The following is a 25,889-nucleotide window of genomic DNA, read 5'->3' as shown; positions in this document are numbered from 1 at the left end:
TGGTTACATGAGTAAGTTCTTTAGTGGTGATTTGTGAGATTTTGGTGCAACCATCGCCGAGTAGTATACACTGAACCCAATTTGTAATCTTTTATCCCTCACCCCCTTCCACCCTTTCCCTGAGTCCCCATAGTCCATTGTGTCATTCTTATGCCTTTGCATCCTCATAGCTTAGCTCTCACTTAGGAGTGAGAACATATGATGTTTTGTTTTCCATTCCTGAGTTACTTCACTTAGAATAATAGTCTTCAATCCCATCCAGGTTGCTGAAAATGCCATTCATTCATTCCTTTTTGTGACCACGTAGCATTCCATTCCATATATAAATATATAAATATATATTTATATATATCACAGTTTCTTTCTTTTTTTTTTTTTTTTTTTTGAGACAGAGTTTTGCTCTTGTTGCCCAGGCTGGAGTACAGTGACGCAATCTCGGCTCACTGCAACCTTTGCCTCCCAGGTTCAAGTGATTCTCCTGCCTCAGCCTCCCGAGTAGCTGGGATTAAAGGCGTCTGCCACCACGTCCGGCTAATATTTTGTATTTTTAGTAGAGACGAGGTTTCATCATGTTGGTGAGGCTGGTCTCGAACTCTTGACCTCAGGTGATCCTCCCGCCTCGGCCTCCCAAAGTGCAGGGATTACAGGCGTGAGCCACCGCGACTGGACGGAAGAAACGGTGAAACTTTTAAGGTGGTAGAATTATAGGATCTGATGACTGATTAGATGAAGCATGGAGAGGGCAACAGTGTGCACAGTGATGCCTTTTCTTCACAGGCATTATAGGAGGGACAGGTTGGTAGGAGGAGGCAACGGGTTTAGTTTTGGATTTACTGACCGGGGATGAGTGTTAGCTCTCTAGGTAGAGGTGTTCCGCAGGCAACTGGTGTTGCGGGACAAATCATAGACGGGAGAGACCGAGCAGAGTTCAGGAGAGCCTTTATTATTAAGGTGATCACCGGCTCAGTCGGACTAGGGTCCAGAAAGTCTGAGCCCCGAACAAAGGGATCAATCACCTTTTAAGCAGTTTGTGTTGGGAGTTACGTGTTGCATGAAGTGTACTTGCAGAAGCAAGAACAAAGGCAGTAAATTACTCTTACATTTGTTACACCATATGTCTTACGTCCTTGGGAATACATGCTTTTGTAACACTTGCTAATCAGTTTTGTGACTTTACAGCAGCGCTAGGGAGGGAAGCAAGAACTCGCTGTGCCTCAAGGAATGTGAAACGATGGAACACAGATAAGCCTCTCCACGCATAGGGGAGAAATAAGCAGTTAATATACTCTTAACCCAGGCCTTGGGTAGGGGAGGTGCTATATTACATTCTACCTCAAAGGAAAAGAATATACTTCTTGATTAGTATACTTATAAAATTCATTAATTTCCCTTTCACTGGATATTCCTACTAATTCCCCCAGGGCCTTGCAGTTTTGTCTCATTCGCTGCTCTATCCCCTAGCTTAGCACAAAACCTAGTTCTTAACATTGATTAAATAAATGAATCCGGTCAGGTGCTCCCGTGGGTGATCTGGAAGGAGTTAAATTTGGTAGTCATGGGAGACGCTTCTGTGAAGCCATAGGAGCGAAGATTGATTGTGGCGGCAGGACTGAACTCAGCTTCTGAATCTTTCTAGCCGCTAAACCTACAGACTAAGTGGCGTCCTTGGGGAATGCTGCCTCAAACGGCTCGCGACGTCCTAAAACATGTACATTTATTTTGGAAAATCTGTTTTCGTAAAACCTAGCATACTTAATCACCAACATTTGTTAACTTCATGGTGGCATATTAATACCTGTCAGGTTGATTTTAGTTGGAGTGGGACGGGGCTGACCTCACCGTCCTACCCTTCGGTATGAGGCCGGCGTCTTCACGACCTCGCTTTTCACAACCCCAGTCCCCGAGGGCTTATTTGGGGCTGTCGGAGTCCCCAAGACGTGGCCCCGGAGAAGGGTGAGGTGCCACAGTTCGAGGTGCCCCAGTACCCTGCGTCCGGACAGGGGGCGGTGCTCACGCCCAAGGCCCCGCTGACGCGATGTAGGCCGAGATCACCTCAGGCGCTCGCGGTGCAATCACAGAGCGCGCCGTCGCCGCTCGAGCTCGCCCTGAGATCCCTCCGCTCAGCGCCTTCAACGCCGTGTCCCGGCACCCCGCACCCGGGCACACAAAAAACGGGTCGCCCGCGATTCTCAGGGATTGATCGCCTCTTCAGGTAAGTTATCTTCCGGCCCCGTACCACTGTGCCACAGGCGCAGCCCGCTTCCTCAGGTGCCCTATCCCGCGCAAGAAGACCACGGCTTCACAGAGTGTTATTTAAGGGGCGTGGCCAGCGGAACATCCCGCCCCATTCTGTGACGCACGGGGTGGCGCGCGTGGGACCCGAGGGGTGGGGCTGGGTTTAGTAGGAGACCTGGGGCAAGGCCCCCTGTGGACGACCATCTGCCAGCTTCTCTCGTTCCGTCGATTGGGAGGAGCGGTGGCGACCTCGGCCTTCAGTGTTTCCGACGGAGTGAATGGCGGCGGCGGCTGGGATGCTGCTGCTGGGCTTGCTGCAGGCGGGTGGGTCGGTGCTGGGCCAGGCGATGGAGAAGGTGACAGGCGGCAACCTCTTGTCCATGCTGCTGATCGCCTGCGCCTTCACCCTCAGCCTGGTCTACCTGATCCGTCTGGCCGCCGGCCACCTGGTCCAGCTGCCCGCAGGGGTGGTACGTACATTCTTTAGGGTCTGAGTGGGGCGCGCGCCGCAGCTGAGGCGGCCGAAGGGCTGGCGTGGGCGGCTCCGTGGCCCCGACCGGCTCAGTGGATGGCAAGGGCGGGGGCGACTGCGGCCATGCTTGGCGTGGCTTTGGTGGCAGGCGCGCTGGGGGCTGGAGTAGTGGCTGCGGCGGCGGCACTGCTGCTGGTGGCGCTGGCTGTAGCACCCGCCATTGCCTTGTGTTGGGGGGCGGTGCTGGCCTCCCCGGCTGTGTATCTGATCCTAGACGGGGTCGTGGTTGCGGCATTTGTGGTTGTAGCGGTCTGTACTGACCGCAGCAGTGGTGCCCCTAGTGGCGGTGGCTGGATTGGCGGCTGTGGGTTTGAACGACCCGGTGGTCGTTGGGGCCCTTGGTGGGGGTCCTGACGGAGATGCTGTTGGCAGCTGGCCCGTCATCCTGGAGGCTGCCCTGTGTGGTTCAGTGTTCTGTGGGCTGTAGCAGTGCCCCTAATGGTGGTTTATACCCATATTAAGGAGGATGTGTAGAGTGTGGTAATGGTAGTGACTGGAGTGTGGTAAGGGCCTTCCTCTGATGCTAATAATGTAACAGTTTCTCGGCCGGGAGCAGTGGCTCACGCCTGTAATCCCAGCACTTCGGGAGGCCGAAGCGGGCGGATCACCTGAGGTCAGGAGTTCCAGACCAGCCTGAACAACATGGAGAAACCCCATCTCTACTAAAATACAACAAAACAAAACAAAAATTAGCTGGATGTGGTGGCACACGCCTGTAGTCCCAGCTGCTTGGGAAGCTGAGGCCCGAGAATCACTTGAACCTAGGAGGCGGAGGTTGCAGTAAACCGAGATTGCGCCACTGGACTCCAGTCTGGGCGACAGAATGAGACTCCGTCTCAAAAAAAAAAAAAATCATTTTCTTCAATTTAACAGCCTTATTAACCTAGCTTTCAATCTCCCAAATGTTATTTGATTGTGCCTTTTACAGTCAGCAATAAGTAGCTTTTGAAAACTACCCTTTTACTGACAATGCAATGTACAAACTTTTGACCAAGTAGCTTTTAAAATAATTTTTGTTTGAACCATACCAGGCATAAGAAAGAGTTATTTATTTATTTATTTTTTTCCTACACATGGGATCTTTAAGGAAATGATATTTGTCTCTGGGAAGACAAAGTTACTTTTAGTGTTTAAAGATAGTTCTATTAGCTGAGGTGTACTGTGAGGTTGTGGTGCTCCTTTCTATTTGAGACCACCAGAGAATTGAGGAGTATTACCCTTTTTCATTATTTTGTTTGATTTTCAGGATACTTAATGTTGTAATCTGCAGGTCTCATTTTGTGGCATCTAAAGAAACTTTTATGAAGAATGCTAGAGTTCTTGCTAGAGCTGATCTACTCTCTTAAAAACTCTAAAATCAGTGGCTCTAGTTCACTTGCAGTGAGAGAAGCATGAGATTGATTGTTTACTGAGAAGTAAATATAGCTTCTTAAACATTTCCCTTCTTTCTATACTACAAGTTACTGCTTGTCTTTTTCTATACCTTCTTTAAGCAAGTATCTGGGACTAAAATTGTGAGTAGTAGTAGTAGTAAGTAGTGAAGAAACAATATAGTGGGCCCTCTGGGGACACGAATTCCACATTTGGGAATTCAGCCAAGTGTAGATCTAAAATACCCAGGGGAAAAAAACCCAATACAAAATAACACAACAATAAAAAATAATACAAATAAAAAAACACAGTTTAATAACAGTTTATATAGCCTTTACATTGTATTGGGTATTGTAAGTAATATAGAAATGGTTTAAGGTATATGAGAGGATGTGCATAGGTTATACGCAAATACTTTGCCATTTTATATAAGGGACTTGAGGATCCCTGGATACAAATCTGTGAGGGGGTCCTGGGACCAGTTCTCCACAAATGCCAAGGGACAAGTGTAGTTTGACCTTTTTGGTTTTTTGCTACTAATGGTTAGAAAAGTTGCCTGGAGACACCAATAATAATTGGACATATTCTGGACAGTGTCCATCATTTAAATTTACAGTGCCTTAGTGTTTATCTGGTCGTTTATCTTATACCGTGTTTTGAGTTTCTGTTCTTTTCTACAATAGCTACTCTCTTGAGGTATTTGCAATTTGGCTGTTCTCAAGTTACTTCTGATGCTTCCTTTTTTTTTGGTAACTTTTTTTTGAAGTCTTAATAGCTATTTTGTTTAATTGTTTGGTCATGAAACGAAACTGGGTTTCTCTCTTGAAATGAAACACGAATTGAATTTACTATTTTTTTCTCTTGTAGAAAAGTCCTCCATACATTTTCTCCCCAATTCCATTCCTTGGGCATGCCATAGCATTTGGGAAAAGTCCAATTGAATTTCTAGAAAATGCATATGAGAAGGTAAGTCTTCCAAATAATTAGAGGAAAAAAAAAAAAACAACTAGAGAAGTGCTTTTTAAACTTTTTTAAAAAAGTGGCAGAACATTTAAAAACATTGTAATCATATACATATCCTCAGTATAGGAAACAAAATGGAAACTGCTCTGGTTTAAGAGATGGTGTCTTATAGATACCTATCCTTTTAGCTTTTCCCATGTCCTGGGGTCGTCTTTGAGACACCATTGAGGAAACCTGTAGTTCTGGCAACTATGGTTTAAAAGCCACTGTTCTGAGTTTTCTATTCACTTATTGTCATTAAAATTGATATTAATTAACCCTCATTTTTCTTTACCATGCATCTGTGGGGTTTTCTAACCTGCTCTATACATCTTCTGTGATTTCACTGTCCACTTGAATGACCCACATGACACCATAGCTACTCAATTATTTGCCCGTCTTCTCTCTAATGAGCTTCCCTGTGCCAGTTAAGCCATTTACTTCACAGTCTCGCTTTGGACTTGTCACTCTTAACTGTTTCACTTCCACAATATTAATTTAGATATCCTATTCGTAGACCATACCGTCTCCTGGTTTGCTTGTGCAACTCCTTAAATTATAACTATTCTTTGACCTCATTGGATCTTGCATTCCATTTACTTTCTCCTGATCCATCAGCCTTCATTCTTCACTTTCCTCTTTCCGCTTTGGGTCCATGGCATGTCGTTTCTGTTACACTCTTGGCAATACTGTACTTTAAATTTCCTCGACCCCGCATCTTTTCATTGTGTTCAGCTGGCAGAAGTCACCCTTGGAGGCAGCCAGTTATTGTCTCCTTCTGCACCAGATTAGTTTCTTCCTGATTTTATGATTGCCTACCTTAATGATATTTGAACACTGCTCCACAGTCCTATTATGTTCTTGTGATTGGGCCTACTTTTCCACTCATTACAGTGACTAATTCAAACCTTCACTTTTCTAAACTTCTGAATCTTTCTACCTCTCCATCAAAGCAGATGATTTTTTCTCCTGTTTAGGAGACAATGATTAAAAACGTTGATTTAGGAGACAATTATTAAAACATTCAAAGAAAACTTCCTCATTTTCTCAATTTCAAATATGCAAACCTACTTGTATTTATATAGTAATCCTATTCTCTTTCTTCCTATCACAGTAATAATTATCAAACACTTACTTTATGCCAGTACTTAGTGCTTTACAAAGATCATCTCACTGAAGCTCCACAAAAACCCTTTCAGGTATATTTGTTTTATAGATGACAAAACTGAGAAGCAGAGAGGATATATAATTTCTTCTTGGACTCACTGCTAGACAGTGGCCAAGCCAGGATTTACACATGGTCTGATTTCTGAGCCTATACTTTTATTAATGATAACAATAATGGAAAACAAGTCATTAAGATGCTAAGTAAGCCAAGGTACTCTTCTCTGCCCTGTATATAAAATTTGGCAGCAGCTCTGTGAAGAACTGCTATTATTATTATTACCATTTTATAGGTGAGAGAAACGAAACACAGAGAGACTAAGTTCTCTGACTATAGGACCAAAGTCATACAGCAAGTAGGTGGAGGAGCTGGGATTTGAACACGGACAGTCTGGCTCACTGCGTTCTACCACTTTGATTTTATTACAACTATATTTTGCCTCTTATCGGAGGCTGAACTCTCCATCCCTCTTTTGTCTCAGGAACTTTTTACTTTTATTTGTTTTCTCAGTGTATTGTTGACTTCTTTTTCAATGGCATCTTTCCTTTTTCTCTGAAAAATTCTTGTCACCCGTTTAAAAACTTCCTCAAAATGGCTTATGAGGCTCTGTATGGTCTAGCACTGCCTAATGCTCAACTCTCATCTCCTCCTTTCTCTTTCTCTTACTTTTAGGGCCTTTGTGTATGTTTAGCTACCAAACCAGCTCCTCATTCTTCTGGTCTCAACCTAGTTGTCTTTTCCTCTATTAGGTCTCCCTTTTTTAGATTCTCTCATCACAGAGTTGCTTTCCTTTCTGTAATACTTGTCACATTTGCAGTTTTATGTTTGTTAATGTGATTATTTGATTAATTTGTATTTTTTCCAATAGACTAAGCTTGGTGAGTTGGGACAGTATTTTTTTTCATGATTATACCCCCAGAGTCTAGTCTTCAATCATAACCAGAAAACTGCAAGGGAAAGTATTTAACATCTAACCAAATTAATATAAAATAAAAAATGAAGTCATTTAGTGTAGGTGAGATAGTGCTAAAATAGATAAATAAACTTGTAGTGTCTTCACATAGCAGGTACTATAGAAAAGGTCAAATTCTTTGGCTAGTCTTGTAAAATTTGTTTTTAACCAAAGGGGGAAGAAGTCTATATTTTCAGAGGTGTTCATCACAGAATTAGCTGTAATAACTAAAGAAAACCCTGACATATCACCCATATGTCCAATAATGAAAGAGTAGTCAGTAAATTAACATTGTGATGTTTATATAGACAATAGAAAACATTGTCAATATAAACTGAAAAAAGCATAATAAACAGTTATATTTATACTACATTTGCAACTAAATGAACATAATTATAAATTTGGACAAAGGAAGGAGGAGTATGGCAAGATGAAAAGAATTGCTTTAAGGTTTATATATGTTTTTATTTTTTTAATAATGCATTATTTTGTGATTTTAAAAAGTTACTGTCGTAGTGTTGCATATTTTTTGTAACATCACTATATGTACTTTTCTCTTTTTAGTATGGACCTGTATTTAGTTTTACCATGGTAGGCAAGACATTTACTTACCTTCTGGGGAGTGATGCTGCTGCACTGCTTTTTAATAGTAAAAATGAAGACCTGAATGCAGAAGATGTCTACAGTCGCCTGACAACACCTGTGTTTGGGAAGGGAGTTGCATACGATGTGCCTAATCCAGTAGGTGACACTGTTACCATAAATAAAGACAAATCTATACCTCAGTAGTTATAGCTAATAGTGAGACATTATACATTTAAAATGTAGAAACAGCCAGGCATGGTGGCTCATTCCTGTAATCCCAGCACTTTGGGAGGCCAAGGTGGGTGGATCACTCAAAGTCAGGAGTTCAAGACCAGCCTGGCCAACATGGTGAAACCCTGTCTCTACTAAAAATACAAAAATTAGCTGGGTGGGGCTGGTGGTGCACACCTGTAAATTCCAGCTACTTGGGAGGCTGAGGCATGAGAATCGCTTGAACCCAGGAGGCGGAGGTTGCAGTGAGCCGAGATCACAACACTGCACTTTAGCCTTGGCAACAGAGTGAGACCCTGTCTCAAAAACAGAAACAAAAAACCAAACACACACACACACACGCACGCGCACACACACACACACACACACACACACAGAAACCAACCAAACAAAAATGTAATAAAATGTAGAACCAGTTTATTCCTTGGTTCAAAAGTCTGAAGAATCATGAGAAGAAAGGCCATGGATAACTGATAAGTAATGGGTATTTAGTTTTATATTTGCTGTCATGGCTAAACAATATTAAAGGGCTTCCTGTACAAATAATGGAATCAATGATAACTTAGCATACTGGGATTTAATTTGAAAGGGTTATTAGACAATGCTGTTACTTCATCAAAAGGACTTCCTGCCTACCCATTCCTGCCTGAAATTCTAACATAAGCGCTGTTTAGAGATTGCTGACTTCAGAAGTCCTCTTTTAATGCAACAACTTCACGTGTGGGGTACATCTATGTGTATGTTTTACCCTCAAAAGCCAAATACGAAATTGTTTTAAGTTGATATAGAACACAAATCAGACAATTGGCCCCAATGCTTGGTATGGGCTCTGGCTGTGAATGTAACACACATTAGCCAGTACCCTAGTATAGCAGTTAAGAGTTAACATTAAATCTTGTTTCTAGTGATGGGGAATGAGGGAATGAATGCCTCTCCTTAAGGCCAAAAAACAGGGCCCTGGAAAATCCCTCTGTTCAGATATATATATTCATTTAGACTCTATTCATTTAGAGTCAGATAGATCTATTCATTTAGACTCTTAAAATGTAAATGCCCAAAGGGTTAAAACCATTACTTGTGTTAGTGTTACATAATTATAATAACCTAAATGGATTTTATGATAAAACAAAAATGTGTTTTAATGCCGTATCCCCGTTTTGAATTTTTTTGAAGGTTTTCTTGGAGCAGAAGAAAATGTTAAAAAGTGGCCTTAACATAGCCCACTTTAAACAGCATGTTTCTATAATTGAAAAAGAAACAAAGGAATACTTTGAGAGTTGGGGAGAAAGTGGAGAAAAAAGTAAGCAAAATGTTTTATGTTTGTCCTAACATTTCTACTTCTCTGTGAATAGAAAAGTAGAGTATATATGTGTGTAGTATATAAAAAACAAATTACAGTGTATGTAAAACTACCTTAGATTTATGGGAGGGTTATGTAATGATTACCATGAAGTTGTAACTGAGAATCCAGTTTTTATACTGGGCTGCAAGTTAAGTATTGCCTTCAGAAGCAATTGCTGTGCCCATAGTAGGAAGCAACATCTGCCCACAGGGCAGCAGGACCCAGGGCAGCAGGTCACTATATTCTGGGTCTGGCCTTTGGCCTCTGTAAGAGTTCCAGAATCTTTGTTTTTGGTATACTTAAGTTGATATTGATATATTTTCTAACCATACAAGAAACTGATGTATAAATTAGAATGCCAATGTAATAATGCATGTGAGACATATAATTACAGCACCAAGAAATCCAGAATATTTACTGATATTCTTTTTATTGACAAATATAATTGGAAAGCCAGATGATCATTGGAAGTTCATTTAGTGAATGTGGAATTAACAGGAAATTAATTGGATAATTTTTATTAGTTGTCATCAAATTATGCTTGCCTGGTGCATTTGTCTCCAGTGTTGGGATATACTAATTGGTGATTATAGTTTTCTTTTACATATCGCCAGTAATTCCATTTTGGCCCTGATCTTCCTACTTTTAACCTGGGAAATAATCTGATCTTTGGCTACTATTCCTTGGGAAGTACCTTATTATTGTCATATGCACTATAAATAACCTTTTTTCTGCTTTTGTTATTGTGACCTGGAAATCAAATAACCACATTTATTCTTTTCATGATGAAGTGCTCATGAGTGGGGTTTTGAGATGTGTTTCTGGGATCTGTTTTGGCTGTTTAGAGGGACAGGGTGCTTCACATTGTTTGGTTTATTGCCCCTCTTTGTTGTTGTACATAGTCACATGTCTGTCTACAGACTTTTTTTGATGATATGAATAGGATCTTGTTTCTTCTTGAGTTCTGTTTTTAATTCTCAATTTTCTTTCACTTTTTGGAAATAGTAATGAGAATAATCTTTTTTTTCTCCCTAGATGTGTTTGAAGCTCTTTCTGAGCTCATAATTTTAACAGCTAGCCATTGTTTGCATGGAAAGGAAATCAGAAGTCAACTCAATGAAAAGGTAGCACAGCTGTATGCAGATTTGGATGGAGGTTTCAGCCATGCAGCCTGGCTCTTACCAGGTTGGCTGCCTTTGCCTAGTTTCAGGTATGGATAAAGAATATATTACACTAGGTTATTTAACTTTGTATAATTATTGTAGTGTTGGTATGCTTTGCCTTAACAAAGATAAAAATTAAACAAGTAAAACATACAAAATGGGTAAGATTATGAATCCCCTTTCTTCTATAAGAATTCAAGACAAATTTTCTTTATATAATGAGCTCATTTAAAGTAAGTTTCAGTTTATTAAAAAGGTGATTTGTTGTCTGTCTAGTCTAATATTTTATTTATGTTTTTGTTTTTGAGATGGAGTCTTGCTCTGTTGCCCCAGCTGTAGTGCAGTGGTGTGATCTCGGCTCACTGCAGTCTCTGCCTCCTGTGTTCAAGCAATTCTCCTGCCTCATCCTCCTGAGAGCTGGGACTACAGGCACGTGCCACCATGCCCAACTAATTTTTCTATTTTTAGTAGAGACAGGGTTTCATCATGTTGGCCAGGCTGGTTTCAAACTCCTGACCTCAGGTGATCCACCTGCCTCAGCCTCCCAAAGTGTTAGGATTACAGGCGTGAGCCACTGAGCCCAGCCTAGTTTAAAAGCCTGCTTACCTCACGTATTCCTTATCCTCAGGAAAGTCTCTGAACTATACCTAAAAGTGATACAGCTCTTCTCTAGCACTTGTTTGAAATCTTTGGTGGCTTTTTATTGTATTGTGAAGTTTCTTTGTTTTAAATATTTGTGCCTTTATTTAATTTTCTGTTTCTTAAGGACAGGGACTGCCTCTGATATAAAGAAATATTGCTCTTAGGACTTGATCTATAGCTTAGTGCTTAGTGTTTTGCATATTAGTAGGCTTTCTGTACTTTTGTTGATTTATTGGTGTTTAGGTGACAGATGGGGAGGAGATAGATTGCTAGTCCCTTTTCTTCTATTTCTGCCCCCTCTATCTAGTTACAGATTGGAAGAGGGGTGGGAGTAAAAGGAAGAGCCAGGAGAGATTCCCTAAAGTTCTCTGGAACTCATCATACCTTATATTTGCAAGGAGCTTTGCAGTTTCAAAATGTTTTCATATATCTTATATTAGAACACCCAGCACAGCCCTGGACTCATAGTGGGTTCTCCATAAATGTGCATTTCTTTTTTTTTTTTTTTTTTTTGGTGATGGAGTCTTGCTCTCTCGCCCAGGCTGGAGTGCAGTGGCATGAGCTCGGCTCACTGCAAGCTCTGCTTCCCAGGTTCACGCCATTCTCCTGCCTCAGCCTCCCGAGTAGCTGGGACTACAGGCACCCGCCACCAAGCCTGGCTAATTGTTTTGTACTTTTAGTAGAGATGGGGTTTCACCGTGTTAGCCAGGATGGTCTTGATCTCCCGACCTTGTGATCCGCCCGCCTCGGCCTCCCATAGTGCTGGGATTACAGGCGTGAGCCACTGCACCTGGCCCATAAATGTACATTTCTACCTGCCTGTTTCTACCTGCTCTGTCTCTTGGATGAAGTCAGAGCTTGCTATGTTAGGCCCTTCACATTCTGGCCCAGTCTTTCTTTCTTCTACTCATACCAACTAATTTAACCAGATTATTCAATTCACTTTCTTAAACAGGCCTATGTTTTCCTGGTTCGACTGTATTCATACAGTTAAGCCCCAACATCTTCTCTTCTGTACACATGGTTTCAGTTGATCCTCAATAACAGATTAACAGTCTTGTAAATGAAACAGAGTAGGAGTTTTTTTTAGAAGGCTTGATTTAAGAGGGGGCTTGGGAGTCAGACTGCCTAGTTTTAAATTCCAGCTCCAATGTTTGCTTTCTGTGTGATCTTATGCAGCTAGCTATAACTTGAGGTTAATAGTATGTACCTCACAGGAAGATAAAAGTGAGTAATTCATGTAAAACACTTAACATGGTACCTGCTACATAGTGAACATACTATTTAAAGGTAAAGTTTAGGAGTTGAAGCTTGTTTTCTGAATCTGCTAGTATTTTCACCCCCTACAAAAAACTATTGTATTAGAAAGTGAAAAGTAGAACCAGATTCCATGGAAGAACCAGAGTGACTCTTCTGCTTTAAGACTTGATTTGGTATTAAAATTGGAATTTTATGTTAATTTAAAAGAGTATCCTACTTTCTGTTGAACTGGAAAATACTTCTAAAGGAATTTCTTGCTTGTTTTAGGCCTTTAGTTTGAACACAGGCAATGTGTTAAGAATCTGGGATATATATGTTAAATAAAGCACAGTTCTTGCCCTTAGGGACTATGGACATTTTTAACAATGTAAGATTTTCATGACTTCCAGTATGTTCCTGGTTCTGATTTTTTTGTCAATTATTTTAGAGTCATTAAAGTTGGTTAAATAAGATGCTTTATGCTCGGTCCTGGTTCTCAAAATGAATTTGATCCTAGAAGGTTATTTCTTTATTTAAGAAAATCATCTTTATCTTTTAATTACAGACGCAGGGACAGAGCTCATCGGGAAATCAAGGATATTTTCTATAAGGCAATCCAGAAACGCAGACAGTCTCAAGAAAAAATTGATGACATTCTCCAAACTTTACTAGATGCTACATACAAGTAAGAGCTATTCAGATAACATATTAAGCTGAAGCAGGAAATTACACATTAAAACACAGTTAAATAGTATTTCCAGTTAAAAAACAGTGATGCTGGCAAAATAAGTTGGTAGCTGTGATCTTTGGACTCTTTAAATTGTTGAGACATAAACTATTGGCATCCTGTGTCTTACTGTAATCCCAGTGACTGGGTATGGTAAAAGTTTGCTAATGAACTGTAATGGAGTCTTTTGTAATCAAAATCGTTTTGTGCTGGTCTGTCTCTTCCCTAAGAGAAAAAAAACTCTTGACTTGTGATAGTCAAATATAAGAGACCACTATACCTGAAAAATGTATTCATTATGACACTTTATTTAAAGGTTGAGGCATGAAATGTATCTGCCAAAATGTTAAATTTGTGTCTTTGGTTCATTCCTTAGGGATGGGCGTCCTTTGACTGATGATGAAGTAGCAGGGATGCTTATTGGATTACTCTTGGCAGGGCAGCATACATCCTCAACTACTAGTGCTTGGATGGGCTTCTTTTTGGCCAGAGACAAAACACTTCAAAAAAAATGTTATTTAGAACAGAAAACAGTCTGTGGAGAGAATCTGCCTCCTTTAACTTATGACCAGGTTTGTTGGATTTTTCAGTTTCATTGCTGCCTTATGACTTTGAGGATCTGTGGCTAATTTTTAAAAGGGACAATTTGAGATTTTCTATATACTATAGCTTAAATTGATCAGCTTCTCTATTTTTAGCAAATTCCCTATAACCTTACCTAAAATATCTTAATGTTATTGCTTCTTGCCATTAAGCTTTATCAGATATGTTTTGGGTTGATGGCTTAGAGATCCTTGGGGATGTTTCTTTGGTACTTACTTCCTCTGCTTCAAAGTCTGGCTTCTGTACATAGAGGATATTATGTGCATGTTGTGTGTCTTATGAAGTGTAGAAGCCTCTGAATTACTTAGAATTCTGTATGTCCAGAGTGGCCTGGGCATGAGCAGAGACTTCTAAAAGTAGTAGTAGTAGTAGTAATGAGGACAAGACATTTACAAATACTACATGCAACTTGCTGGGTGGAAAGGAAGAGAGGACAACTCACTGCACAACCTGACATTCCATCTTGGAAGCAAACCTTGGTGATGTCATCTTCCTGTTATCTTTTGTGCTTTTGGTCCTATATTAATATGGCACATTACACTGATTTTCAGATGTTAATTGTATTCCTGGGATAAATCCTACTTTGTCATGGTGCATAGTTCTTTCTATATGTTACTACATATAAACTTGCTGGTGTTTTGTTGAGGATTTTTGCATCTATATTCATAAAGGATATTGATCTCTAGTTTCACTGTGATGTCTTTGACTGGTTTTGATATCAGGATCATACTCATCTCATAGAATGTATTTGGAAGTATTCTTTTTTTCTTCTAATTTTTGGAAGAGTTTGTGGATGATTGGTGTTAATCCTTTTTTACATATTTGCAAAAATTCAGCAGTGAAATCATCTAGATCTGTGCTTTTCTTTCTGAGAAGACTTTACTTACTAATTCAATTTATTTGTTACAGGTTTATTCAGATATTCCATTTCTTCTTATGTCAGTTTCAGTAGTTTATATCTCTCTAGGAATTTGTCCATTTCATCTAGGTTACCTAATTTGTTGGCATACAATTGTTCATAGTATTCTCATAATCCTTTTTATTTCTGTAAGCTCAGTAGTGATGTCTCAACACTCATTCTTGTTTTTAGTAACTTAAAATAACAGCTTAACTGATATATTTACATAGCATAAATCCATCCATTTAAAATGTACACTTTGTGGTTTTTAGCATATTAAGAGTTGGGAAACCATCATCATAATTTAATTTTAGAACATTTACATCACTCCCAAAAGAGAGCTGGTACCCATTAGCAGTCATGCTTCATTCTCCCTGACTGCTGCCCCTGGCAACCATTAATCTCCTTTTGCCTCTGTGAGTTTGCCTATTCTGGATATTTCATGTAAATGGGATCATACAATTTGTAGTCTTTTGTGACTACCTTGTTTCACTTAGCATGTTATCAGGGTTCTTCCATGTTGTAGCATGTATCAGTACTTCAGTCTTTGTTATTACCAATAATATTCCATTATATGGATAGACCACATTTTGTTTATTTGTTCATCAGTTGATGGACATTTGAGTTGTTTCCACCTTTTAAACTATTATGAATAATGCCGCTCTAAACGTTTGTGTACTGATTTTATGTGGACATGTGTTTTCAATTTTGGGGGGTCATACCTAGGAGTAGAATTGCTGGGTTATAAGGTAACTTTGAAGAACTGCCAGACTGTTTTAAAAAGTGGCTGCACCACTTTCAAATCTCACTAAACAGTATATGTTGGTCCTGACTTCACCCCCTCACCAAACTTGTTACTTGATTTTTTTATTATAATAGGTGTGAAGTGATACTTTTTTTTTTTTTTTTGAGACAGAGTCTTGGTGTGATGCCCAGGCTCTAGTGCAATGGCGCGACCTTGGCTTACTGCAACCTCGGCTTCCCAGGTTCAAGCTATTCTCCTTCCTCAGCCTCCCAAGTAGCTGGGTACACACCACCACGCCTGGCTAATTTTTGTATTTTTGGTAGAGACAAGGTTGTACCATATTGGCCAGGCTGGTCTTGAACTCCTGACCTCAAGTCATCTGCCCGCCTTGGCCTCCCAAAGTGCTGGGATTACAGGTGTGAGCCACCATGCCCAGTTGGTATTTTGTTTTGATTTTGCATTTCCCTGGTGACTAGTGATGTTGAGTGTCTTATGATGTGTTCTTTGGCTTTGGTATACTTCTTTGGAGAAATGTCTGCTCACATCCTGTTCCCATATTTAAAATGAGTTGTCTTTTTATTATTGAGTTGTAAGAGTTCATCTATTTTTTTTTAATGTGCTTTTGGTGTCAGAGAAACTAATGCCTAATCAAAGTGTATGAAGATTTATTTCTGTGTATTCTTCTTAGTGTTTTGTAGTTTCATATCTTACATTTAGGTCTTTGATCCATTATGAATTAATTTATGTATATGATGTGAGGTCATCATTCTTTTGCATGTGTTTATCCAGTTGTCCCACACTGTTTGTTGAAAAGACTATTTTTTCCACGTTGAATTGTCTTTGTAAAAAAATCTATTATAGCCAGGCGCAGTGGCACGTGCCTGTATTCTCAGCTACTGAGAAGCTGAGATGGGAAGGTCGCTTGAGCTCAGGACTTGGGGTCCAGCCTGGGCAACATAGCGAAACCCTGTCTCTGAAAAAATAAATACATTTTAAAAAGCCTCTTGACCATAAATTTAAGGCTTTATTTCTGGACTCAGTTCTATTCCATTGATATGTTTAGTCTGATGCCATTACGTAGTTTTGTAATAAGTTTTGAATTCGGGAGTGTGAGTCCTCTGACTTTGTCCTTTTCAAGGCTGTTTATCTACTCCTAGTCCCTTTAGTTTCCATATGAATTTTGGGGTCAGTGTGTCAGTTTCTGCAAAGAAGCTAGCTGAGATTTTTGACAATGATTGCATTGTATCGCCATATTAATTTGGGAGCACAATTTTAGTCTTTAAATCTGTGAACATGAGATGTCTTTCTCTTATTTTAGTTCTTTAATTTCTTTCAACAATGTTTTATAGTTTTTGGTGCACAATGTTTAAACTTCTCTTGTTAAATGTATTCTTAAGTATTTTATTATTGTTATTTTTTTGATGTTATTCTTTCTTCTGCCAGTCCAAATCTGCTGTTGATCCCCTCGGGTGAATTTTTCATTTCAGTTCTCATACTTCTCAGTTCTTGAATTTCTATTTGGTTCTCTAAAAAAATAATATATTGATATTCTCCATTTTACTAGAGATATCTAGGCATATTTTGCTATAGTTCTTTGAACCTGTTTATAATAGCTGATTTAAATTCATTATCTAGTAAGTCCAATGTCTGGGCTTCTTCATGGATAGTTTCTATTAAACTGCTTGCTTTTTCTATGTACTGGCCATACTTTCCTGTTTTGGTGTGTTTTTTGTAATTTTTTTGTTGAAAACTGTACATTTAAAATAATGTGGCAACTGTGGAAATCAGATGCCCTCCTCCCTGGGTTTATTGTTGCTGGCTCTTTGTTGTTGTTGTTGTTGCTGCTGCTGTTTGTTTACTGCGTTTCCTGGATTAATTATGTCATTCCTTGTTCAGTGAGGTCACTGAAATCTCTGCTTGCTTACTTTAGTGGGCATCTAATATTTGGACAGAGATTTACTGAAGTGCTTTGAACAGCCAGTCTCCTAGCTTTTGCTGAAAGGCTCTGTATGTGTGTGTTAGGGGATGTTATTAACACTCCAACAGGCAGTTACAAGTCTGCCTTCACTACCTGTGTGTACAGGTCAGCCAGAGGTAAAAGATTACAGCCTCTTAGATCTTACCTGGGCATATGCATGGTCTTATACATATGTGTGGCCTTCAAGATTCTCTTATGTTGGAACTTTTCAAAGTCTCCTGTGGACATCTTACTCCCCAGTTTTCCCTTTTAAACTTCTTGTTCTGTCTCTTAGCACCAACTGATATCACCATCTCAGGCGCCTTCAGTGTTAAACAATTTTTGCTAAATATTTTTGGAAAATTTGCTCTGGCTCCTCTAATAGTTGTTAGGCTTCTGGCTTTCACAGCTGCTATAGTTGTCATGCTGTTGGTTTCCGGGGCTACCATGGATTTGGGGAGAGGAGGATGAAAGAAATACAACTTACACTACCACAAAGCTTACTCTTCTTACCAAGATTCAGATTTCTTTTTCTTGAATTAACTCTCCTTAGATTGTTGCAAGCCTTTGGTTAATCTTCCAGAATTTTGAAAAAGTTGACATTAAGATTGTTGCTACTGTTTTCATTTTTTGGAGGAGTGAATTTTTGTAGGTTCTTACTTCATTCTTCAGGGCAATCGCTTCTGTTACCTTGCCCTCCTTTTTCACCATGGACAGTGGTAGAGCATGATAACCCCAGCCACCCTGAACCAGTTACCTCTGTACTTTTAGCTGGAATGCAAGCTGTCTTGTACTAACTAAGAAGTTAAACTAATTTTTTGTACTGTTGAAGTATGTTATTTATAACAATCAGGAAATGCTTTCTCATTTTAGCTCAAGGATCTAAATTTACTTGATCGCTGTATAAAAGAAACATTAAGACTTAGACCTCCTATAATGATCATGATGAGAATGGCCAGAACTCCTCAGGTGAGTATCTTGGCTACATCTTCCCCTCTATACCCCCAGTTTTTATCAAAAAGAAGAAATAGGTGGGTGTGGTGGTTCACACCTGTAATCTCAACACTTTGGGAGGCTGAGGTGGGAGGATCACTTGAGGCCAGAATTTGAGACCAGCCTGGGCAACATAGTGAGACTGACCTCATCTCTACAAAATTTTTTCTAAAAATTAGCTGGCCATAATGGCACATGCCTGTGGTCCCAGCTGCTTGGGAGGCTGATGTGGGTAGATTGCTTGAGCCTGGGAGGTTGAAACTGCAGTAATCCATGATCACGCCACTGCATTGCTGCCTGGGCAACAGAGCAAGACCCTGTCTCAAAAAAAATAAAAATAAAAAAGAAAGAAAAAGAAAAGAGGAAGTAGAGTAGCATAAAAGAGATTTTTTTAAATTAAAAAAGTAGAATAATCACTTCTACCTAATCTTCAGTTTTATATACTCTAAAAACATATTTTTACCTAATTGTAGATAGTATACGTGCTAATCTGTTTTTTTTTTTTTTGAGACGGCATTTCACTCTTGTTGCCCAGGCTGGAGTGCAGTGGTGCGATCTCAGCTCACTGCAACCTCCGCCTCCCGGGTTCAAGCAATTCTTCTGCCTCAGCCTCCCAAGTAGCTGGGATTACAGGGGCATGCCACCATGCCTGGCTAATTTTTTGTATTTTAGTAGAGATGGGGTTTATCCATGTTGGTCAGGCTGATCTCGAACTCCCGACCTCAGGTGATCCACCCGCCTTGGCCTCCCAAAGTGCTGGGATTACAGGTGTAATCCCGCGCCCGGCCTACATGCTAATCTTTAATGCTAATCATGTTCTGCATTTTTCTTTAACAATTGGGGTTTTAAAAATCAAAGTACATATTTTTCTTGGTTTTAAAAATAACATTTTGTTGTAAAAAATTGTTAATATGAAGTGTACAAATTGATAGTGAAAGCCTCTCTGAAATTCCAACCCTACCTCCAAGGCATTATGGGTTTGATTTGTGTACTGTGTACTTCCAACCCAACGCTGGCTCACTGGAAATCATCTTGAGTTAAAATAATTTTTAGTTTGCCTATTATCTAGCCAGTTTTTAAATATATGTACAGATGGTTCTTGATTTATGTGATTCAACTTATAATTTTTTGACTTTATGATGGATTTATCAGGATGTAAACCTATCATAAGTCAAGGAGCATCTGAGTATCCCATGTATATTCATGCTTTATTACACAATGATCTGATTATTTGTCAGCACATTTTTAAATTCTCTAATGAAATGTGTGGCTTTTGTTTATAGACTGTGGCAGGGTATACCATTCCTCCAGGACATCAGGTGTGTGTTTCTCCCACTGTCAATCAAAGACTTAAAGACTCATGGGTAGAACGCCTGGACTTTAATCCTGATCGCTACTTACAGGATAACCCAGCATCAGGGGAAAAGTTTGCCTATGTGCCATTTGGAGCTGGTAAGATGATTATATTTTAGATTGGAAATGTTTGTTCTGATAACATATTTGTCTCTGTCAAAATATTCCGAATTGTGTTTACAAATTATCTCTCCCTTTCCTCATAGGGACATTTTTGCAAACTTTTTTAGGAGAAGAATCTTTATAAGTTGGAGAAAAATATTTCCTTTGTACCAAATGGAATTGTTCCATAAATCCTTATATAATGCTTCACTACTTCCTAACCTGTCTGGTTTTATTAGGTCTAATTTTTATAGAACATCCTTGTTTTCCCTTACAATGGTATTTAAAGCTCTTTGTGGATTCTCTTTTAAAGAACCATTGGAGTCAGCACACCATTCAGGGAATAACAGATTACTAGCATTTCACAAAAAAGCAAAGGCAGTCTTTTAAAATTAAAGCTCTTCTCGATCGTTAGTCAACATTTTTGCTCTCTGAATATCCGTATGAGAAAATGGTCTTTAAATTTGGGCAGGTTGTGTGTAGGCTTGCAAATTTCATTTCCAGTAAGATCCTAAAATAATTTAGCTATACCCTTGTTTCTCCAGTAATTTCTCTGTCCATTGGTTCTCTGTACTGATTAAACTATATTCTATGCTTTAGTCTTTCCAAAGGGATCATTTAAATGACAGATGACTTGTCATTGGTCACACTTTTTCCACATATAAAGGAAAATATAAAGTCCTTTGGGAACTTCAGATCTTAACTTTATGTAATAAATTTAATACTGTGGTGTATAACACAATATATAAAAGAATCATAGTTTTTTTTTTGAGAGAGTCTTGCTCTGTCACCCAGTCTGGAGTGCAGTGGCACAATCTCTCAGCTCACTGCAACCTCCACCTCTGGGTTCAAGTAATTCTCGTGCCTTAGCCTCCTGAGTAGCTGGGATTACAGGTGTGTACCACCACGCTCAGCTAATTTTTGAGCTTTTAGTAGAGACTGGGTTTTGCCATGTTGGCCAGGCTGGTCTCGAATTCCAGGCTTGAAGCAATCTGCCCACCTTGGCCTCCCACAGTGCTGGGATTACAGGCGTGAGCCATGCCACCTGGCCAAAGAATCAGATTGTTAACAGATGGGAAGAGCATTAGTTCTGTAGCCCAAATTCTGCCCCAAAGAGGAATCGTTTCTAAACTAGTAATTATCTGGTTTCCACTTGAACTTTACTAGAAATGGGTTGTGGGTTGTTCAGTTACCTTTTATGATGGCTCATTCTATGTTTGGACAGCTGTCATTTTTAGAGCCTTATGTTAAAGCTGAAATCTGTTTCTTTTTAACATCTCATTTATAGTTGGTCCTAACCATAGTCTCTGAACTTATATTGTATGAGGTATTTGAGTACAGATATAATGTCTCCTCCATCTTTTTTTCAATCTTTGTGTTAGTTTCCTAGGGCTTCTGTAACTAATTACAATATGGGTGGCTTAAAACAATAGAAATATATTCTATCACAGTTTTGGAGGCTGGAAGTGTGAAATCAAGGTATTGGCAGGACCGTGCTCCTCCTTAAGGTTCTACAGGAGAATCCTTCCTTGCATCTTCCTAGCTTCTGGTGGCTCTTGGCAACCCTTGGCTTGTAACTACATTGTTCCAATTACTACCCCTGTCTTCAACAGGCTTTCTTCTTGTTCATGTCTCTGTATCTTAACATGGCATTCTTATAAGGACACCAGTCATTGGATCTAAGTCCTACCCTAAGTCAGGGTCATCTCATCTTAAATAATTGTGTATATAAAGATCCTATTTCCCAATTAAGATCACATTCTAAGGTTCTGGATGGACTTGAATTTATGGGGGGATATATGATCTTACGTTAATCTTGTTAAATATCACATTACATGTCTCTAATTTCTTTACTCATTCTTTTACCTCGTAATTGTGCTGTTTATTTATGTTGGTGCATATAGTTCATTCATTTTCATAATATTACATTTTGTGAATCATCAGAATTTATCTACTCTTATGTTGATTCAATTAGGATACTTCTTGCTTGTTGCGATTAAATCCTTGGACTATTCTTCCTGTAAGCCAAGCTTCTCTTTAGTTGTTATATTTGAAATATGGACCAATTTGTAAATGCTCATCTTAAATGTCACTCCTAGAAATAAGTACAGTTATGGGCCAAGCAAGCACTGTGCTAAGCACTATCAGTTTAGGTTTTTTCTTTTGATGAAAAATCTTGCAATGAAATGCCCAAATCTTAAGTCAACATTCATTGAGTTTTGACAAATGAATAACCTTTAGTTTAGTCCAATGTATCAATCTTTTAAATGGTTATTGCTTTCTGGCCCTGTCTTAAAATTTTTGCTTAGCCCCTGAGTCATGAAGATATTCTCCTGTTCTTCTCTACTGAAATTTATGCTGTTAGCATCATGGTTTGTGACCCTTCTTGAATTAGTATTTGATTATGGTGTGACATAGGAGTTGAATTTCATTTTTCCCCCATGTAATATCTAGTTATTCCTGGACCTTATGTTGAAAAGACTTGCTTTTCCTCATTGGCTTGCTTTGGTGTCTGTACTGATAATCAAATAACCATAAAAATATTCTGTTCTGGGCTCTCTGCTCTGTTCCATTGATCTATTTGTTGATCCTTACCTAGTACCACTCTGTTTTATCTTTAGTCTTGAAGTCAGATTTGAAATCAGTTTTATGTCCTCCAACTCAGTTCTTTTTCCAAGATTGCTTTGGATATCCTAGGTCCTTTGCATTTTTATATGCATTTTAGAATCAGCTTGTCAGTTTCTACATGGGTGTGACTTTTTAGTATATTATTTTGGGTTCATTAAATCTCATTTTCTTCCATACATTTATAATGACATTTGAGGTTTGATTGGAAGGTTTTCATATTGACTTTTAACTAGGGCTTTCTTGGGACAAACAGAATATTCTACTATATTCCCAAACTAGATTACCATCTTATGATTCAAACTTTCCATATATTTAACCCAGATATATATTTTCAGAAAAAGTAATTGGAAAAGTTATGTGATCAGTCAAGTACTGTTTTCCTAAAATGTGGTATTGAAAATCTCCTGGAATTTTTAATAATTCATGTTGTTTTATGTGAAAAGAATGTCATCTTTTTATTATATTATCTGTACATTTGCTGTTCATCTAAAATGTAGATAATATCACCCCAGGCTAAAAAGGATGAGAAAGAATTTAAACTGATTCTTATAACTTTTTCTTTTTTTTAGGGCGTCATCGTTGTATTGGGGAAAATTTTGCCTATGTTCAAATTAAGACAATTTGGTCCACTATGCTTCGTTTATATGAATTTGATCTCATTGATGGATACTTTCCCACTGTGAATTATACAACTATGATTCACACCCCTGAAAACCCAGTTATCCGTTACAAACGAAGATCAAAATGAAAAAGGTTGCAAGGAACGAATATATGTGATTATCACTGTAAGCCACAAAGGCATTCGAAGAGAATGAAGTGTACAAAACAACTCTTGTAGTTTACTGTTTTTTTAAGTGTGTAATTCTAAAAGCCAGTTTATGATTTAGGATTTTGTTAACTGAATGGTTCTATCAAATATAATAGCATTTGAAACATTTTCTAATAGTTATGATACTTATACATGTGCTTTCAGGAAGTTCCTTGGTGAAACAATTGTTGAGGGGGGATCTAGGTAATTGGCAGATTCTAAATAATATAATTTCCAGATAGTAATTTTAAGAGTACTCATCGCTCTTGCCAAATAAGTTCAGGGTATTCAAATCTTGGACTAGTCCTGCAAGGTATAAAGAATAAAAATCCCAGTGAGATACTTGGAAACCACAGTTTATTATTATTTATCTGGGCAATTATTGTGTGTGTGAGGATGGAAGGGTAGGGAATAATCGAACATCTAAAGCCTTGAATAAGAGAATACTAATTGTTTTGGTATGATGATACTCAGAAATGGAGATATTATAGGAAAAAGAAATCCTTTGGAATTTTAACTAAAATCACTGCATATGGGAAATTAAGAGATCCAGGACCATATTTGATAAGAGTTCCTAAAAATAATGTAATTATTAATGCTAAAGACTGCTCATGTATCTTGATCTAATTACTAAATAATTACATATTTATTTACCTGATAAATATGTATCTAGTTCTACAAGGTCACATTTATGTGGAAGTCCAAAGTCAAGTCCTTAGGGGATAATTTTGTTTTGGCTCAGTTGTTCCCTGCTTCCTTTTTTTTTTTTTTTTTTTGAGATGGAGTCTCGCTCTGTTGCCCAGGCTGGAGTGCAGTGGTGCGATCTCAGCTCACTGCATCCTCTGCCTCCCGGGTTCAAGCAATTCTCTGCCTCAGCCTCCCAAGTAGTTGGGATTACAGGCACCTGCCACCATGCCTGGCTAATTTTTTGTATTTTTAGTAGAGACGGGGGTTTCACTATGTTGGCTAGGCTGGTCTTGAACTCCTGACCTCGTGATCCACCCGCCTTGGCCTCCCAAAGTGCTGGGATTACAGGCATGAGCCACCGCACCTGGCCTTCCCTGCTTCCTCTCTAGAATCCAATTAGGGATGTTTGTTACTACTCATATTGATTAAAACAGTTAACAAACTTTTTTCTTTTTAAAATGTGAGATCAGTGAACTCTGGTTTTAAGATAATCTGAAACAAGGTCCTTGGGAGTAATAAAATTGGTCACATTCTGTAAAGCACATTCTGTTTAGGAATCAACTTATCTCAAATTGTAACTCGGGGCCTAACTATATGAGATGGCTGAAAAAATACCACATCGTCTGTTTTCACTAGGTGATGCCAAAATATTTTGCTTTATGTATATTACAGTTCTTTTTAAAACACTGGAAGACTCATGTTAAACTCTAATTGTGAAGGCAGAATCTCTGCTAATTTTTCAGATTAAAATTCTCTTTGAAAAAATACAGTCTGTATTCATGAATTGTAAAATATGTGCTTCAGTGAGCAGAGTTAGGGAATCCAGGAACTTGGGTGGGGAAAAATTACATCTTTATTTGCACTAATAATTTCTAACTGCAATTTAGTATTTATTTCAATTATGAATTTGGGCAGCATTTTATTAGCAGTATCCATGATTTTGTCAATAGAAATCTCAGATATTTTCATATTACAGATGTTACAGATTTCTTGAAGTATCTAGTTACGACCCCGAGATAAGGCTAGTCTAATGTTTAGTGAATAGTTTTAGACTTCTTAACAGATTTCATTTTTAATCACAGACTAATTAATTATTGAGATGCATAAACAAGTGTGATTGCAGAGGCCTACTATCATAAGGAGGCGTGGTGGTCAAACAATGGCACTGAACTCAGCTTGATCAGATCATTTGTCCATCTGTTTTTTTCTCCACTGTCTCTTAGAGCAGAATAGCCTTGAATGGCAAGCCATGCTAGCTGAAAAAGGTTTTTACCCACAACCTGCCCCTTCAACTAACTGCTTTAGAGTACGTTTGCTATTTTTAGAATTCCTCTTATTGGAACCCAGCTTCTAATGTGGAAAATTTAAGTATAGTTGGCTCCTTTTATTTGTGGGTTCTGTATCCTCTGATTCAACCAACTGCAGGTTCAAAATACTAAAAATAAAACCCCACAATAAAAAAATACAGTATTAGCAACTATTTACATAATGTTCACATTGTATTAGGTATCAAATAATCTGGAGATGATTTGAAGTACACAGGAGGATGTATGTAGACTATCTGCAAATAGCACATTGTTTTATAAGAGACTTAAGCATTCGCGGACTGTAATATCCAAGGGGGATCCTGGAACTAATCCCCCACACATGCCGAGGGATGACTGAAATTAGAAATGTTCAAGCATGTACAACTTTCTACCATGCCTGTTTGTGTTGGTATAAATCATGGAACATCAAATAATAAGACAAAATCCTCCAGGTGTAAGCATCAAATACTAGTCCTCTTGCTGTTTTAGTGAGTTGCCATGTTATTGAGGAGGACTCCAGATGAGAAATAACATTGCGATCTGTATTATCTCTGTGAGAGCCTCCCAGTCTGAATTTGGCTTGGACAACAGGGATACTGTTTAATTCGGCTGCAATGTGATT

General features: G+C 38.8%; 1 protein-coding gene and 1 long non-coding RNA gene across 4 annotated transcripts in view, besides 6 other annotated features; one reads left to right on the top strand and one right to left on the bottom strand.

Annotated features, from left to right (window-relative positions):
• The window catches only part of CYP51A1-AS1 (CYP51A1 antisense RNA 1), a 46,163-nt gene extending 43,848 nt beyond the window's left edge, over positions 1–2,315 (bottom strand). For both annotated transcript variants that reach the window (NR_122109.1, NR_122110.1), the window contains exon 1: positions 1,796–2,315. This is a non-coding gene — a long non-coding RNA (CYP51A1 antisense RNA 1). The remainder of the gene's footprint in view (positions 1–1,795) is intronic.
• Positions 1,413–2,239: an enhancer, noted in NCBI's record as "H3K27ac hESC enhancer chr7:91763953-91764779 (GRCh37/hg19 assembly coordinates)". NCBI's record gives its function as "activates a minimal SCP1, AML or CMV promoter by ChIP-STARR-seq in naive H9 embryonic stem cells {active_cell/tissue: H9 hESC(naive)}" and the evidence as "EXISTENCE:reporter gene assay evidence [ECO:0000049][PMID:30033119]".
• Positions 1,413–3,066: a biological region, named in NCBI's record as "H3K27ac hESC enhancers GRCh37_chr7:91763126-91763952 and GRCh37_chr7:91763953-91764779".
• Positions 1,776–2,435: an enhancer, noted in NCBI's record as "active region_26259". NCBI's record gives its function as "activates an Ori minimal core promoter by ATAC-STARR-seq in GM12878 lymphoblastoid cells {active_cell/tissue: GM12878}" and the evidence as "EXISTENCE:reporter gene assay evidence [ECO:0000049][PMID:35858748]".
• On the top strand, positions 2,075–24,725 carry CYP51A1 (cytochrome P450 family 51 subfamily A member 1). Of its 2 annotated transcripts, none has more exons than NM_001146152.2 (10): positions 2,075–2,212; positions 5,006–5,104; positions 7,822–7,998; positions 9,247–9,373; positions 10,451–10,625; positions 13,025–13,144; positions 13,563–13,758; positions 18,263–18,358; positions 19,666–19,834; positions 23,035–24,725. In NM_001146152.2, exons 3-10 carry the CDS (start codon positions 7,846–7,848, stop codon positions 23,211–23,213), a joined length of 1,215 nt encoding a protein of 404 aa, NP_001139624.1. In that variant the 5' UTR covers positions 2,075–2,212; positions 5,006–5,104; positions 7,822–7,845; the 3' UTR covers positions 23,214–24,725. The 2 variants fall into 2 exon arrangements, with proteins under 2 accessions (NP_001139624.1, NP_000777.1); NM_000786.4 differs by lacking the exon at positions 2,075–2,212 and adding an exon at positions 2,401–2,705.
• Positions 2,240–3,066: an enhancer, noted in NCBI's record as "H3K27ac hESC enhancer chr7:91763126-91763952 (GRCh37/hg19 assembly coordinates)". NCBI's record gives its function as "activates a minimal SCP1, AML or CMV promoter by ChIP-STARR-seq in naive H9 embryonic stem cells {active_cell/tissue: H9 hESC(naive)}" and the evidence as "EXISTENCE:reporter gene assay evidence [ECO:0000049][PMID:30033119]".
• Positions 2,806–2,855: an enhancer, noted in NCBI's record as "active region_26258". NCBI's record gives its function as "activates an Ori minimal core promoter by ATAC-STARR-seq in GM12878 lymphoblastoid cells {active_cell/tissue: GM12878}" and the evidence as "EXISTENCE:reporter gene assay evidence [ECO:0000049][PMID:35858748]".
• Positions 3,016–3,065: an enhancer, noted in NCBI's record as "active region_26257". NCBI's record gives its function as "activates an Ori minimal core promoter by ATAC-STARR-seq in GM12878 lymphoblastoid cells {active_cell/tissue: GM12878}" and the evidence as "EXISTENCE:reporter gene assay evidence [ECO:0000049][PMID:35858748]".

Source organism: Homo sapiens, chromosome 7 (assembly GCF_000001405.40).
Source record: "Homo sapiens chromosome 7, GRCh38.p14 Primary Assembly".
NCBI classification, from domain to species: Eukaryota; Metazoa; Chordata; class Mammalia; order Primates; family Hominidae; genus Homo; species Homo sapiens.
This window is presented reverse-complemented; position numbering and strand designations above follow the sequence as displayed.